General features: G+C 47.3%; 1 protein-coding gene across 5 annotated transcripts in view, besides 5 other annotated features; it reads right to left on the bottom strand.

Moving 5' to 3' along the window:
- ESCO1 (establishment of sister chromatid cohesion N-acetyltransferase 1) overlaps positions 1–13,521 on the bottom strand; it is a 71,421-nt gene extending 57,900 nt beyond the window's left edge. For 3 of the 5 annotated variants that reach the window (XM_011525799.4, NM_052911.3, XM_047437286.1), the window contains exon 1: positions 13,440–13,521. The gene's annotated coding sequence lies outside the window, so the exon portion shown is untranslated. Of the gene's footprint in view, positions 1–13,231 lie in introns of all 5 variants that reach the window. The other 2 variants (XM_047437285.1, XM_011525798.2) reach the window with 1 other exon arrangement.
- Positions 4,469–5,198: an enhancer, noted in NCBI's record as "NANOG-H3K27ac hESC enhancer chr18:19171613-19172342 (GRCh37/hg19 assembly coordinates)". NCBI's record gives its function as "activates a minimal SCP1, AML or CMV promoter by ChIP-STARR-seq in naive H9 embryonic stem cells {active_cell/tissue: H9 hESC(naive)}" and the evidence as "EXISTENCE:reporter gene assay evidence [ECO:0000049][PMID:30033119]".
- Positions 5,929–6,656: an enhancer, noted in NCBI's record as "H3K27ac-H3K4me1 hESC enhancer chr18:19173073-19173800 (GRCh37/hg19 assembly coordinates)". NCBI's record gives its function as "activates a minimal SCP1, AML or CMV promoter by ChIP-STARR-seq in primed H9 embryonic stem cells {active_cell/tissue: H9 hESC(primed)}" and the evidence as "EXISTENCE:reporter gene assay evidence [ECO:0000049][PMID:30033119]".
- Positions 11,865–12,159: an enhancer, noted in NCBI's record as "tiled region #3945; HepG2 Activating DNase unmatched - State 1:Tss". NCBI's record gives its function as "activates a minimal TATA promoter and a strong SV40 promoter by Sharpr-MPRA in HepG2 cells {active_cell/tissue: HepG2}" and the evidence as "EXISTENCE:reporter gene assay evidence [ECO:0000049][PMID:27701403]".
- Positions 13,227–13,746: an enhancer, noted in NCBI's record as "active region_13133". NCBI's record gives its function as "activates an Ori minimal core promoter by ATAC-STARR-seq in GM12878 lymphoblastoid cells {active_cell/tissue: GM12878}" and the evidence as "EXISTENCE:reporter gene assay evidence [ECO:0000049][PMID:35858748]".
- Positions 15,071–15,150: an enhancer, noted in NCBI's record as "active region_13134". NCBI's record gives its function as "activates an Ori minimal core promoter by ATAC-STARR-seq in GM12878 lymphoblastoid cells {active_cell/tissue: GM12878}" and the evidence as "EXISTENCE:reporter gene assay evidence [ECO:0000049][PMID:35858748]".

Raw genomic sequence — 15,193 nt, forward strand, 5'->3', positions numbered from 1 at the left:
TAATCTGTAGTTTTCTTGTGATGTCTTTGCCTAGTACTAAGGTCTTTTTAGCACTGTGATGTCTTTTTAGTACTAAGGCAATACCAGCCTCATAAAATGAACTAAGAGATCCCTCCTTTTCTATTTTTTGAAAAGTCTATGAAGGATTGGTGTTAATTCTTCTTTAAATGTTTGGTAGATTGCATCAGTGAAGCCATCTGAGCCTGGGCTTTTCATTTTTGGAGGTATTTTTATTCAATCTCTTTGTTATAGGTCTATTCAGATTTTCTATTTCTTCTTGAGTCAGTTTATAAGAACTTGTCTATTTTATCTAGGTTATCGAAATGGTTAGCATACCATTGTTCATATTCCCTTTTAACCCTTTTTATTTTAGTAATATCTCTCATTCCTTATTTTAGTAATTTCTCTCATTCCTTATTTTGGTAATTTGAGTCCTCTCTCATTAAAAACTTTTTTAAAAAAGATAAAAGTAGCCAGGTGTAGTAGCTCATGCCTATTAACCCAGCACTTTGGGAGGCCAAGGTGGGAGAATTGCCTGAGCCCAGGTGTTCAAGACCAGTTTGGGCAACACAGCAAGACCCTATCTCTACAAAAAATAAATTAGCCAGGTGTGGTGGCACACACCTATGATCTCAGCAACTTTGGAGGCTGAGGCGGGAGGATCACTTGAGGCCAGGAGTTCTACTCCAGCCTGGGCAACACAGCAAAACGTCAAAACAAAAAACAAACAAACAACAACAAAATAAAACACAAGGTGCCCCTGGGTCTGGTGACACATGCCGATAGTCCCAGCTACTCAGGAGGCTCATGTGAGAGGATCACTTGAGTCCAGAAGTTTGAGCCTAGACTGTGCTATGATCCTGCCTACGAACAGCCACTGCACTCCAGCCCGGGCAACCCAGCAAGGATCCATCTCAAAAAAAAAAAAAAAAGCAAAACCCACAAGGTGGGTGGATTTGTCCTATCAGATATCAAGATTTACTATAAAACCACGTTAATGTGTGATATTGTTTCAAGGATAAACAAACAGACCAATGGAAAAGATCAATGACACAAAATAGACCAGAATCAAACCAAGTATTTAACATATATGATCATTTGGTTTTTAAGAGACAGCACTGTCACCTTAAAGAAATAGTACTGGGATAACTGGATATCACATGGGGGAAAAATGAAATTGGATCCTTAGGCTGCTCTGCCTAAGGAGTAGCCATTTTTTATTCCTTTACTTTGTTAATAAACTTGCTTTTACTTTACTCTAAAAAAAAAAAAGAAAAAGAAATTGTATCCCTACCTCATACAATACTAAAGTCAATGCCAAATGGACTGACTACAGACCTAAAATGTGAAAGGTGAAAATAGTAACTTACAAAGGATTGGTATGCACAGATTATACAATATGTATAAGATATCCTACAAATTAATAAAACAGCCAACCAAAGAGAAAAATGGGCCAGGTATGGTGGCTCACGCCTGTAATACTAACACTATGGGAGGCTGAGGCGTGCAAATCTCTTGAGCACAGGAGTTTGAGACTAGCCTGGACAACATGGCAAAACCCTATCTCTACAAAAAATACAAAAATAGCCGGGCATGGTGGCGTTCACCTATAGTCCCATCTACTTGGGAGGCTGAGGCGGGAGACTGCAGTGAGCCTTGATCGCACCACTCCACTCCAAGCTGGGCAACAGAGTGAGACTCTGTGTCAAATAAATAAATAAATAAATAGGATACAGAGATGATTTAATTTTAGAAATGTTAATAATAGATAACATCGGCTGGGCGCGGTGGCTCACGCCTGTAAGCCCAGCGCTTTGGGAGGCCGAGGTGGGCAGGTCACCTGAGGTCAGGAGTTTGAGACCAGCCTGGCCAACATGGTGAAACCACATCTCTACTAAAAATACAAAAATTACCCAGGCATGGTGCGCATCTGTAATCCCAGCTACTCAGGAGGCTGGGGCAGGAGAATCATTTGAACCTGGGAGGTAGAGGATACAGTGAGCCAAGATTGCACCACTGCACTCCAGCCTGGGCAACAGAGCAAGACTCCGTCTCAAAAAAAAAAAAAAATAGATAACATCAACAAGTCAAATAAAAACAATTACCCTATTACTTCAATGTAGCCACTTTCCCCCTCCAAGTCACTTCTTAAAATTAATCAGCCTTTTTCCTACACAACCCTAGGACTATTTTGCCCAACCTCATCTTGATGGTTTTTTTTACTTTTTTCTTTGTTATTTATTTATTTATTGCCCTTAAATAGTCTCCTATCCAATCGTCTTGTATTTCAACACACCACTGGAAACTTCTAGCTATCTCAAGGTACAGTAATTCCATCAGATTTACTGCAGAATCAAACCCCGTATACCTCTCAATCCCAACATAATTTACTGAAGGACTTTTTCCCCAAGCTGCTATGAAAGCCTCTTCAGTTCCATAAAACACTGGTGCAAATTCAGAAAGCCATCTAAACAGCTGGGAAAGATTTCTCTTCTGGGACAACAGAGTAGAGAGTAAGTTCTCAGCAATACTTAGCTCGAAGATGGCACAAAGCAAAGACGGCAAAGTCTACCGAGAACATCAGACCTCTCACACTTAAGGCCTTCAATTTGCACAGATCCATTCCCACCAGTCAAATGCAAGTCCGTCTTTTTTTTCCTCTCTTTTTTTTTCTCGCTCTGTCACCCAGGCTGGAGTGCAGTGGTGCCATCTCGGCTCACTGCAAGCTCCGCCTCCCGGGTTCATGCCATTCTCCTGCCTTAGCCTCCCGAGTAGCTGGGACTACAGGCACCCGCCACCACACCGGGCTAATTTTTTGTATTTTTAGTAGAGACGGGGTTTCACCATGTTAGCCAGGATCGTCTCGATCTCCTGACCTCGTGATCCACCCGTGTCGGCCTCCCAAAGTGCTGGGATTACAGGCATGAGCCACTGCGTCCGGCCGCAAGTCCATCATGTCAGTTATTTTCCCTTACTACCTTCCAACTCTCCTTATACTGCTGATCACTTCCTTTCTTAAACTCACCCACATGAACCCTTTTTCTTTTTTTTTTTTTGAGACTGCCTCTCACTCTGTCGCCCAGGCTGGAGTGCAGTGGCATGATCTCAGCTCACTGCAACCTCCGCCTCCCCGGTTCAAGCAATTCTCTTGCCTCAGCCTCCTCAGTAGCTGGGACTACAGGCACGCGCCACCACACCCAGCTAATTATTGTATTTTTAGTAGAGATGGGGTTTCACCATATTGGCCAGGCTGATCATGAACTCCTGACCTCGTGATCCGCCCGCCTCAGCCTCCCAAAGTGCTGGGAATACAGGCATGAGCCACCGCACCCAGTCATGAACCCTTTTTCTATGAAAAGCAGCTTCCTATATTCAATCTCTTCACAATACAAATTTTACTTTAATTGAATTTGTATTTCAATTTTAATTGAATTTGTATTTAATTTAAATTTAATTTAATTACCCTTAATTGAAAATTCACTCTCGGCCAGGCAAGAGGCTCATACCTGTAATCCCAGCACTTTGGGAGGCCGAGGTGGGCAGATCACGAGGTCAACAGATCGAGACCATCCTGGCCAATGTGAAGAAACCATCTCTACTAAAAATACAAAAAAGTTAGCTGGGCGTGGTGGCACGTGCCTATAGTCCCAGCTACTCAGGAGGCTGAGGCAGAACTGCTTGAACCCAGGAGGCAGAGGTTGCAGTGAGCCAAGATCTCATTACTGCACTCCAGCCTCACGACAGAGCGAGACTGTCTCAAAAGAAAAAAAAAAAAGAAAAAAATCCACTCTCTTGAAATTATACCCTTTTCTCTAAAACTCTCCAGTAGTGGCTAAATGGTGGGCCCCCCAAAAAATACACCTGTGTCCTAATCCCTGAATTAGGGATTGTGAATGTATCTTATTTGGGGAAAAAAGGTCTTTGCAGACATAATCAAATTAAGGATCTTGAGATGTGATCATCCTGGATTATCCAGGTAGGCCCTAAATCCAATAACAAATATCCTTGTAAGAGAGTGGCACAGATATCCTTGTAAGAGAAGGAGACAGACACAGACAAGAGAAAATAATATGAAAATGATGGCAGAGATTGGAGTAATGTGGTCATAGGCCCAGGAATGCCAGGGCAACCAACAGAAGCTAGATGAGGCAAGGAACAAATTTAAGATAATAAATTTCTATTGTTTTAAGCCATCAGGTTTCTGATAATTTATTAAAGCAGACATAGGAAACTGGTCTCTCCTAAGCAGGCTATATATATCACATCAAGAAGCCTACAGTTTTCCCAGCACAACCATTTTTTATCTTACACAAAATTCTTTACACATCTCTTTTAAGGTTTATGCCATTCTGCTATCAAACTTTCTTTCTTCATTGTTGTATTCCTACTGATCACCAGAAATTCTTCAATCATAATTTTCTTCTCCAATCACACTGTTATCATCAACTCCAAAGTTCACATGGATCACCACAGATGCTTTTTTTTTTTTTTTAATTTTTATTTTTATTGATCATTCTTGGGTGTTTCTCACAGAGGGGGATTTGGCAGGGTCATAGGACAATAGTGGAGGGAAGGTCAGCAGATAAACAAGTGAACAAAGGTCTCTGGTTTTCCTAGGCAGAGGGCCCTGCGGCCTTCCGCAGTGTTTGTGTCCCTGGGTACTTGAGATTAGGGAGTGGTGATGACTCTTAACGAGCATGCTGCCTTCAAGCATCTGTTTAACAAAGCACATCTTGCACTGCCCTTAATCCATTTAACCCTGAGTGGACACAGCACATGTTTCAGAGAGCACAGGGTTGGGGGGTAAGGTCACAGATCAACAGGATCCCAAGGCAGAAGAATTTTTCTTAGTAAAGAACAAAATGAAAAGTCTCCCATGTCTACTTCTTTCCACACAGACATGGCAACCATCCGATTTCTCAATCTTTTCCCCACCTTTCCCGGCTTTCTATTCCACAAAACCACCATTGTCATCATGGCCCGTTCTCAATAAGCTGTTGGGCACACCTCCCAGACGGGGTGGTGGCCGGGCAGAGGGGCTCCTCACTTCCCAGTAGGGGCGGCCGGGCAGAGGCGCCCCTCACCTCCTGGACGGGGCAGCTGGCCGGGCAGAGGGGCTCCTCACTTCCCAGTAGGGGCGGCCGGGCAGAGGCGCCCCTCACCTCCCGGACGAGGCGGCTGGCCGGGCGGGGGACTGACCCCCCCCACCTCCCTCCCAGATGGGGCGGCTGGCCGGGCGGGGGGCTGACCCCCCCACCTCCCTCCCGGATGGGGCGGCTGGCCGGGCAGAGAGGCTCCTCACTTCCCAGTAGGGGCGGCCGGGCAGAGGCGCCCCTCACCTCCTGGACAGGGCGGCTGGCCGGGCGGGGGGCTGACCCCCCACCTCCCTCCCGGACGGGGCGGCTGGTGGGGCGGGAGGCTGACCCCCCCACCTCCCTCCCGGACGGGGCGGCTGGCCTGGCGCGGGCTGACCCCCACCTCCCTCCCGGACGGGGCAGCTGCCGGGCGGAGACGCTCCTCACTTCCCAGACGGGGTGGCTGCCGGGCGGAGGGGCTCCTCACTTCTCAGACGGGGCGGCTGCCGGGCGGAGGGGCTCCTCACTTCTCAGACGGGGCGGCTGCCGGGCGGAGGGGCTCCTCACTTCTCAGACGGGGCGGTTGCCGGGCAGAGGGTCTCCTCCCTTCTCAGATGGGGCGGCTGGGCAGAGACGCTCCTCACCTCCCAGACGGGGTCGCGGCTGGGAAGAGGCGCTCCTCACATCCCAGACGGGGCGGCAGGGCAGAGGCGCTCCCCACATCTCAGACGATGGGCGGCCGGGCAGAGACGCTCCTCACTTCCTAGATGGGATGGCGGCCGGGAAGAGGCGCTCCTCACTTCCTAGATGGGATGGCGGCCGGGCAGAGACGCTCCTCACTTTCCAGACTGGGCAGCCAGGCAGAGGGGCTCCTCACATCCCAGACGATGGGTGGCCAGGCAGAGACGCTCCTCACTTCCTAGACGGGGTGGCAGCCGGGCAGAGGCTGCACTCTGGGCACTTTGGGAGGCCAAGGCAGGCGGCTGGGAGGTGGAGGTTGTAGCGAGCCGAGATCACGCCACTGCACTCCAGCCTGGGCACCATTGAGCACTGAGTGAACCAGACACCGTCTGCAATCCCGGCACCTCTGGAGGCGAGGCTGGTGGATCACTCGCGGTTAGGAGCTGGAGACCAGCCCAGCCAACACAGCGAAACCCCGTCTCCACCAAAAAAATACGAAAACCAGTCAGGCGTGGCGGCGCGCGCCTGCAATCGCAGGCACTCGGCAGGCTGAGGCAGGAGAATCAGGCAGGGAGGTTGCAGTGAGCCGAGATGGCAGCAGTACAGTCCAGCTTCGGCTCGGCATCAGAGGGAGACCGTGGAAAGAGAGGGAGACCGTAGGGAGAGGGAGAGGGAGAGGGAGAGGGAGAGGGCCACCACAGATTCTTAATCTCCTTAATTATTTACCAATTCTTAATGCATTTCAACTATACAACCTTTTAACCACATCAAAGGAACAAGAGAGAAGTACTGACTACAAATCTGAGTCTAGTGGCTTGTCAAATTCATAACTCCTTTCTGAAAAACCTGCCATGGCCACAGGCACCTCCTTTAAAAAAAAAAAAAAAACCTTAGACAATTCAGTTATATCCTGAAAGTCCTGACCCTGCTACGCTTCCCATAGCTAACTAGATCAAGTGTGGGTTTGTGACCCAAGAGGTGCCAATATCTAGTCACTATAAAGCAGGGTTTTCCAACTCACCACTATTAACATTTTGAACCACATAGAGTCTTTGTTATGGGTGGGCTGTCCCGTGCATGGAGGAGCAGCAGCCTGTTTAGCAAGAGCAGCAGCAGCCCCGACCTCCATCCACTAGATGCCAGTAGCAACCCTTCCCCTAGTCCTCACAATCAAAATATCTCTAGACACTACAAAATGTCTCCTCAGAGGCAAAATCACCCTGGGTTGAGACCTACTACTATAACAGCAAAGAACTAAATTAGGAATTACAGGATACCTGCTGCTTGAGGAATTAAAACAAGGCAAGCCTACTGCTAGAGCTGTACTATTCTCAGCCACCTTCTGAGTCCTGAAATATATTCAGGTTTCTGTAAGAGCTGGTGAATTGTTCTTCAGCAAAGCCTAGTGTTTGGTGATTCCTGTTTTCTTCTACAAGATGTAGCTCTGTAAACAGTCTTCTCTTATTTCTACATATCCTCCCAATGAACTACTATTATTTAAGGTAACCCAAGTATTTCTCACATTCTAAAATGCCTAATAGATCACTTGAGGTCAGGAGTTCGAGACCAGCCTGGCCAACATGGCGAAACCCCATCTCTACTAAAAATACAAAAATTAGCCAGGCGTGGTGGTGGGCGCCTGTAGTCCCAGCTACTCGGGAGGCTGAGGCAGGAGAATGGTGTGAACCCAGGAGGCGGAGCTTGCAGTGAGCTGAGATCGCACCACTGAACTCCAGCCTGTGCAACTGAGCGAGACTCCATCTCAAAAAAAAAAAGACTAAATTTATCTTCTGAAAATTATCTATTTTTGAAGAAAAATTTAATCCAGTGTCTTGTGATAACAACAAACTTTCAAACACTAGTTGAACAAAACACAACAGTAAATTTCAAATTTCCATGGGAGCAACTTTAACTTCTTAAAAGCAACAAGTATTTGTTTAATTTAACAACTCGATTTTCTGATGGGCTAAAATAGTCTACAACTACTGTGTGTGTGTGTGTGTGTGTGTGTGTGTGTGTGTGTGTGTATCTTTTTTATATATGAAAAACTACAGGAGAGCACCACCATGTCTGGCTAGTGTTTTTTTTGTAGAGACGGGGTTTCGCCATGTTGCCCAGGCTGGTCTCGAACTCCTGGGTTCAAGCGATCCACCTGCCTCGGCCTCCCAAGGTGCTAGGATCACAGGCTTGAATGTGAACCACCATGCCTAGCCTATGGTATATATTTTAAACATATATTATGATAGATGCTGGGTATAGGCATATTCCCACCCTCAAATAGCTTATGGAGAAATTATCTAAGTGGCGTATATCTTCTAAAACTGAACAGTATCTGTGTTACAAAGAATAATACTTGGCCGGGCATGGTGAGCCGAGATCACGCCACTGCACTCCAGCCTGGGCTGTAAGAGCAAAACTCCGTCTCAAAAAAAAAAAAAAAAAAAAAAGGGGCCGGCGCTGTGGTTCACGCCTGTAATCCCAGCACTTTGGGAGGCCGAGGCGGGTGGATCACGAGGTCAGGAGGTCGAGACCATCCTGGCTAACACAGTGAAACCCCGTCTCTACTAAAAATACAAAAAATTAGCCAGGCATGGTGGCAGGTGCCTGTAGTTCCAGCTACTCGGGAGGCTGAGGCATGAGAATGGCTGAACCCGGGAGGCAGAGCTTGCAGTGAGCCAAGATTGCGCCGCTGCACTCTAGCAGGGGCAACAGAGCGAGACTCCGACTCCAAAAAAAAAAATAGGCGGGGTGCGGTGGCTCACGCCTGTAATCCCAGCACTTTGGGAGGCCAAGGAGGGGGGATCACGAGGTCAGGAGATCGAGACCATCCTGGCTAACACAGTGAAACCTCGTCTCTACTAAAAAATACAAAAAATTAGCCGGGCATGGTGGCGGGCGCCTGTACTCCCAGCTACTCGGGAGGCTGAGGCAGGACAATGGCATGAACCCAGGAGGCGGAGCTTGCAGTGAGCGGAGATCACGCCACTGCACTCCACCCTGGGCGACAGAGCGAGACTCCATCTCAAAAAATAAATAAATAAATAAATAAAATAAAAATAAATAAATAAAAAGAATAATACTTGTCACAAAGACTATACTATTTATGGGGGATAAAAGTAAGTTAAATTTAATCCTCTCCAACGATGCCATAATAGAAACCTTTCCTGGGCCAGGGGTGGTGGCTCAGACCCATAATACCAGCACTTTGGGAGGCCAAGGTGGGCAGATAACTTGGGCCCAGGAATTTGAGACCAGCCTGGGCAACATAGTGAAATCCCGTCTCTTCAAAAAAACAAAACAAAAAAAAACAGAAAGAAACCTTTCCTAATATAAAGCTACTTGGAGTCCTACATAATTTTTAAGAGTATAAGGGGATCCTAAGACCAAAAAGTTTGAGAAACACTGCATTAAAGTAATACTTAATGCCTCCTTTTAATTTACCCTCTGAGTTTTTATCTGTGAGAATCTTACGTATGCTGCCATAAATGTTTAAAGTTCTTAGAAAAGCTCCTGATATATCACCAGTGCTTAAGTGTTAGCTATAATAATATTAATAATTAGCTATAATAATATTACAGGGAAAATGTTTTTATGAAAAGATAGAAAATATTGGCCAGGCATGGTGTCTCACGCCTGTAATCCCAGCACTTTGGGAGGCCGAGGTAGGGGGATCACCTGAGGTCAGGAGTTCAAGACTAGCCTGGCCAACATGGTAAAACCCCGTCTCCACAAAAATATAAAAAAAACTAGCTAGGCATGATGGCAGGTGCCTGTAATCCCAGCTACTCGGGAGGCTGAGGCAGGAGAATCGCTTGAAGCCTGGAGGCAGAGGTTGCAGTGAGCCGAGATAGCACAGCCTGGGCAACAGAGCAAGACTCCGTCTCAAAAAAATAAAAAAAAATTTACTTAGTTACTCCTGGCTTCGCTTAACTACTTGCCAACTCAATTTCCATATTATCATTATCCCCTTCAGTTTCAACAACTACATTAATTCTAAACATTCAATTATTTACCTTAAAGCAGTAGTGCTCAAAATGTGATATGGGGACTCTCAGGATTCCTGAGATCAAAATCATACGAGAGCAAAAGATTAAAAGTACAAAACAGACCAATGAATTCTAATGCAACAGAATGCAAAACACATGTAGACATGGTTTCAGATTCTACATCACAACTAACCTTTAAGAAATTACCACTTGTTAAGTTTTGTTGCAGAATCAGAGTATTACAACTATCTGAAAAAGCTAAAATACCCCACCCAACATACTGGTCATAAACTTCAACCAGAAACATATATAGCAACAGATTGATAGGAAAATCCAGCTGTCTTCTATCAAGGCCAAACATTAAGGAGATTTACAAAAATGTAATACCATCACCATTCCTTCACTAACTTATTTTGGAATATAGTTTTTCATTAAAATGTTATTTATTAAATATATTAAGCTGGGTATGCACACCTGTAGTCCCACCTATTTGGGAGGCTGAGGCAAGAGGATCACTTCAGCCCAAGAGCTCAAGGCCAGCCTGGGCAACACAGTGAGCCACTGTTACTAAAAAAAAAAAAAAATTTAATTAAAATTAAAATGTTATTTATATTAAGCTGTAGTTTAATTATTTCAAATGAATTAATATATATGAAATTAATTCCTAATACAGTAACTATCAATAGATATAAACCTATATAAACAAAAGCTACTTGGAGTCCTACATAATTTTTAAGAGTGTAAGGGGATCCTAAGACCAAAAAGTTTGAGAACCACTACATTAAAGTAATACTTAATACCACCTTTTAATTTACCCTCTGAGTTTTTGTGTGAATCTTACACGTGCTGCCATAAATGTCTAAAGGAAGCTGAACAGAGCAGAGGATATAAATCTTCCTTTAAGCATTGTAATGCAATCAAGCATAAGATGTATATGCCCCTTCCCCTCAGGAAAAGACAAGACATGATGGCTGGGTTAACAGAATGCTCTTATTTGCCAAAAGTAACTACAGTATTATAATACAGCTATAATACAGAACTTATACAGGAAAAACAGAACCAAAGGATTTTCATTGAATGATCCACAGAAAAATATGAAAGTCAGGGTTACAAAAGGGGTAATATAGTCCTTAATTATCTACAGTAACAATTTTACTGGAGTTGGTTTCTAGTACCTAAATTTTAATCACCTTCAATAGAAGGTATTCCAAGAACTCTATGTGGTACAAAAATCTGCCAATAAAAGTCATGAAAAAATATTTAACTATTACAAAAAAATCCATTATTCGAACTGTGCAGCGCTGGTCACGTTCATTAACAGAATAAATACAATCAGCTCTGCATAATAAATTACCAAGCTAAAAAGGACTATCTGGCAAAAGAAGTTAATGGCATTCATTAATTAGGGTACTTTTTTAGTTATTCTGTGAAGCATAATTTATCAATTTAAATGCCAGCACCTTGTATGGGACGGACATTAAAAAAATTACTTGGCCGGGCATGGTGGCTCACGCCTGTAATCCCAGCACTTTGGGAGGCCGAGGCAGGCGGATCACCTGAGGTCAGGAGTTCAAGACCAGCCTGGCCAACACGGTGAAACCCTATCTCTACTAAAAATACAAAAAAATTAGCCGGGCATGGTGGCACTTGTCTGTAATCCCAGCTACTCGGGAGGCCGAGGCAGGAGAATCACTTGAACCCAGGAGGCGGAGATTGCAGTGAGCCGAGATCTCGCCACTGCCCTCCAGCCCGGACGACAGAGTGAGACTCCATCTCAAAAAAAAAAAACAAACAATTACTTGTTCACTACAGGATTATAATATTGATTGAGAAAGGTGAGACAATAGCATATTTTCCTCAGTTAGCAATGATAAAGGAGTTCTAGCTCGTAAGCCAGGACAAATTTTGGAATTGTGCTTCCAAAGTCACATATCTGACCCAACAGTGATACTCTGCATTCTGCCTAAAAGGGAAAAAGTGGCTCTATTACAGTCCTAGTTTCCTCATTTCCTCACATGCTCTAGGCCTGAATTTGCGACTTCCAAATTAAGCACGTTTTAAAGCACTTCTCATCCTACTCCCATGTCTAATTCCATTGATTAGATTTTTTGCTTTTCAAAAAAAAAAAAAAATTCACCAGGCACAGTGGCTCAGGCCTGTAATCCCAGCACTTTTGGAGGCCCAGGTGATCACTTGATCCCAGGAGTTCGAGACCAGCCTGGGCAACATGGCGAAACGCCGTCTCAACAACAAATAGAAAACTTAGCCTAACATGGTAGCGGACGCCTGTAGTCTCAGCCACTCAGGGAGGCGGAGGTGGGAGGATTGCTTGGGGCCGGGGAGGGAGGTCAAGGCTGCAGTGAACAGTGATTACACCACTGCAATCCAGTCTGGGCGACAGAGCGAGACCCCGTCTCAAAATAAAATAATAACTTAAAACTTTATTCGTGTTGGTGTCCTGTGTAAAGCAGAAACTAAGTACTTGACCAGAAGACAAAGTGAATATAGCATAGTTCACTGCAACCTGGATGTTTTCAACTGAAATCTATGTTTTATCCACTTTTTTAAAAAAGCCAATGCTGGTGGGGGGACTAACCACACCTTATGCCACCAAGTAGCGCTTTTGTTTCCTGCGAAGCTTATTTATTGAGATATCGTTTTGTAATACTATCTAGATACTGTGTGCTGCGATTCCTGTTTAAAGGAATCTCATTGCAGCTAAGACTACAGAAAACATGGTTCATAGTACTTCTCAAATCGCAAAGCTTGAGCTCCTTCCTCCTCCTCTTCCTCCCTCCCCTGGTCCCCGCTGCGTCCCCATCGCCCCGGAAAATAAAGCACACGCCGGATTTTCGGACGCATCATTGAGAGGCGGAGGGAGAGGAGGTAGTCTTCGAATTGTTGGACTTGCTATCCCATTCTGCCTGTGCAAAATAAACCCCCATAGTAAAATAATCTTAACCCGTGATAAAAATCGAGGACCCAATTCTCTTTGGTTCGCCTCTCTCCATCGCTATAAACTTCACTGCGGCCCTCAATGCACTCATTTCTACTCCAGAGCCGCCCTACCTGTGCCGAGACCCCCATTTGCAGCATGAGTTACTCTATGACCTTGGGCCCGCTCCCCTCCCAAACTGAAGGCTGTAAAACCAAGACCCCACATCGCGCCCCGCAAACTGCAGAGGCCTCCAGGCTCAGGCCGGGTCAGCGGGTTGCGCCAGGAGGCGGCGAGGGACTGGCTCCGGTGAAGCGCCGGGAAGAGAAAACGCAGGGGGCGGAGACGGGGCCCGGAGCTACCTGCGGGACCAGCACTGGCGCTGCCCCGGTGCTAGCAATGGCTGCGCGCCACCTCGGGGCTCCCGGAGCCCTCGCGGCAGTGCTGGGAACTCCGGCCCTGCCCCGTCGGCGGTCACGACCCCTTATGAACTTCGACCGCCCAGCAAACAGCGGCAGGTGGTGCGCGGACACGCGAGCACGTTAGCTGCCTACCTCAAGCGACGGCGTCTTGGAGCCTAGAGCCTCCCACCTCCCTCCCAGGGGCGCGAAGAGCTGGGACCGGAGCAGTAGGAAGGGGCGTGCGAGGCAACACGCCACCGAGGGTGGAACAGGAAGAGGGAGAACTGTCCGCTCCCTGAAGGGGCTGGCAAAAGAGAGGTGAAGACACAGGCGGCGGGGACCGTCAGGGACGCTCGCGTACCTTCCTTTTGCCTGGCGGAGGGTCAGACTAGCGCCAGCGGATCGCCTCACATCCGGGTATCAGGAGACACTCAGCTGCTTCTGCTGCGGCCGCCGCCTCCCCCGCGGCGCAAACACCAAACTTCCGGCGACGACGGCGACGCCTCGCTCGTCAGATGGGAGTTACCTGTGACCGTCTTGGGTGCGCTTGCGCAACGCTCCTCTTCAGCCCTAACCGGCTCAGCTGACGTGCCCAGAAGACGAAGATGGCCGCCACGCTCACTGCGTGTCACGCAGTTTTTCACCCCGGCCCGGACGGCTGGGCGTCGAGGAAAGGCGAGCTAGTGTCCATCCTCAGCGCAGGCGCGGTGGGAGGCCTAGCGCGCGCGCCTCCGCGGGTGGTCGCCTGGCAGGGAAGTGGCGGCGCCCCCTAGCGGCGGCCGCTTGTCGTTCCTGGGGTCATCGCTTTGAGCTGAAAACCACCCAGGCCCCCAGCGGTTGTGGTTTACCTTGGAAATTTGTCGCAACTGGTTGCCATGTAGGTTTTGGCTGCTTCTGTCTGCGATGTATAATCCAAGTGCCTTTGGTCTTCCATATGAGCCAATGTAAAGAAGGAGGGTGGGGCCGGGCGCGGTGGTTCACGCCTGTAATCCCAGCACTTTGGGAAGCAGAGGCGGGTGGATCATTTGAGGTTAGGAGTTCGAGACCAGCCTGGCCAACATGGCCAACATGGTGAAACCCCGTCTCTACTAGAAATACAAAAATTAGCCGGGTGGTAGTGGCGTGCGACTGTAATCCCAGCTACTCGAGAGGCTGAGGCGGGAGAATCCCTTGAGCCTGGGAGGCGGAGGTTGTGGTGAGCTGAGACTGGGCCACTGCACTCTAGTCTGGACGAGTGAGACCCTGTCTCAAATAAAAAAAAAAGGAGGGTGCAGTCCCTACACTGCCCTCCAGCACCTCCAAAAAATGCAGGGCTTCGCCCTCTCCTTGCACACTTTCTTCCTGTGTATCAGAGTGCAAGAATCATCAGAAATTGTAAAATATTCTGCTAGACTTAGTCAGACTGAGTGTTCAGACAAAGCTTTGGCTCGCTCTTGGACGCCTCTAGAGATAGAATCCAAGATTCTATCACTAGGATTCATGGTTCCCACACTTCTTTCTTTTGTGACAGGAAGGATCTTGCTGTGTAGCCCTGGCTGGTGTGCAGTGGCACAGTAACGGCTCACTGCAGCCTCGACTTGGGCTCAAGCGATCCCACCTGCCTCAGCCTCCCTGAGAACTGCATGTATGAAGCCCACGACACCATGCCAGGCTAATTTTTTTTTTTTTTTTTGAGATGGAGTCTCACTCTTGTCACCCAGGCTAGAGTGCAATGGCACGATCTCGGCTCACTGCAACCTCCGCCTCCCAGGTTCAAGGAATTCTCCTGCCTCAGCCTCCTGAGTAGCTGGGACTACAGGTGCCTGCCACCATGCCCGGCTAATTTTTTATTTTTAGTAGAGACGGGGTTTCACCATCTTGGCCAGGCTGGTCTCGAACTTCTGACCTTGTGATCCCACCTGCCTCGGCCTCCCAAAGTGCTGGGATTACAGGCGTAAGCCACCGCGCCCGGCCGCCAGGCTAATTTTTTTATATTTTGTAGGGATAAGGTCTCACTGAGACCAGCCCAGGCTGATCTCGAACTCCTGGCCTCAAGTGATCCTCTCTTCTCTCCTTGGCTTCCCAAAGCGCTGGGACTACAGGCCTAAGCCACTGCTCCGGCTACTAGACTGCTTT

This window comes from Homo sapiens, chromosome 18 (assembly GCF_000001405.40).
Source record: "Homo sapiens chromosome 18, GRCh38.p14 Primary Assembly".
NCBI lineage: Eukaryota > Metazoa > Chordata > Mammalia > Primates > Hominidae > Homo > Homo sapiens.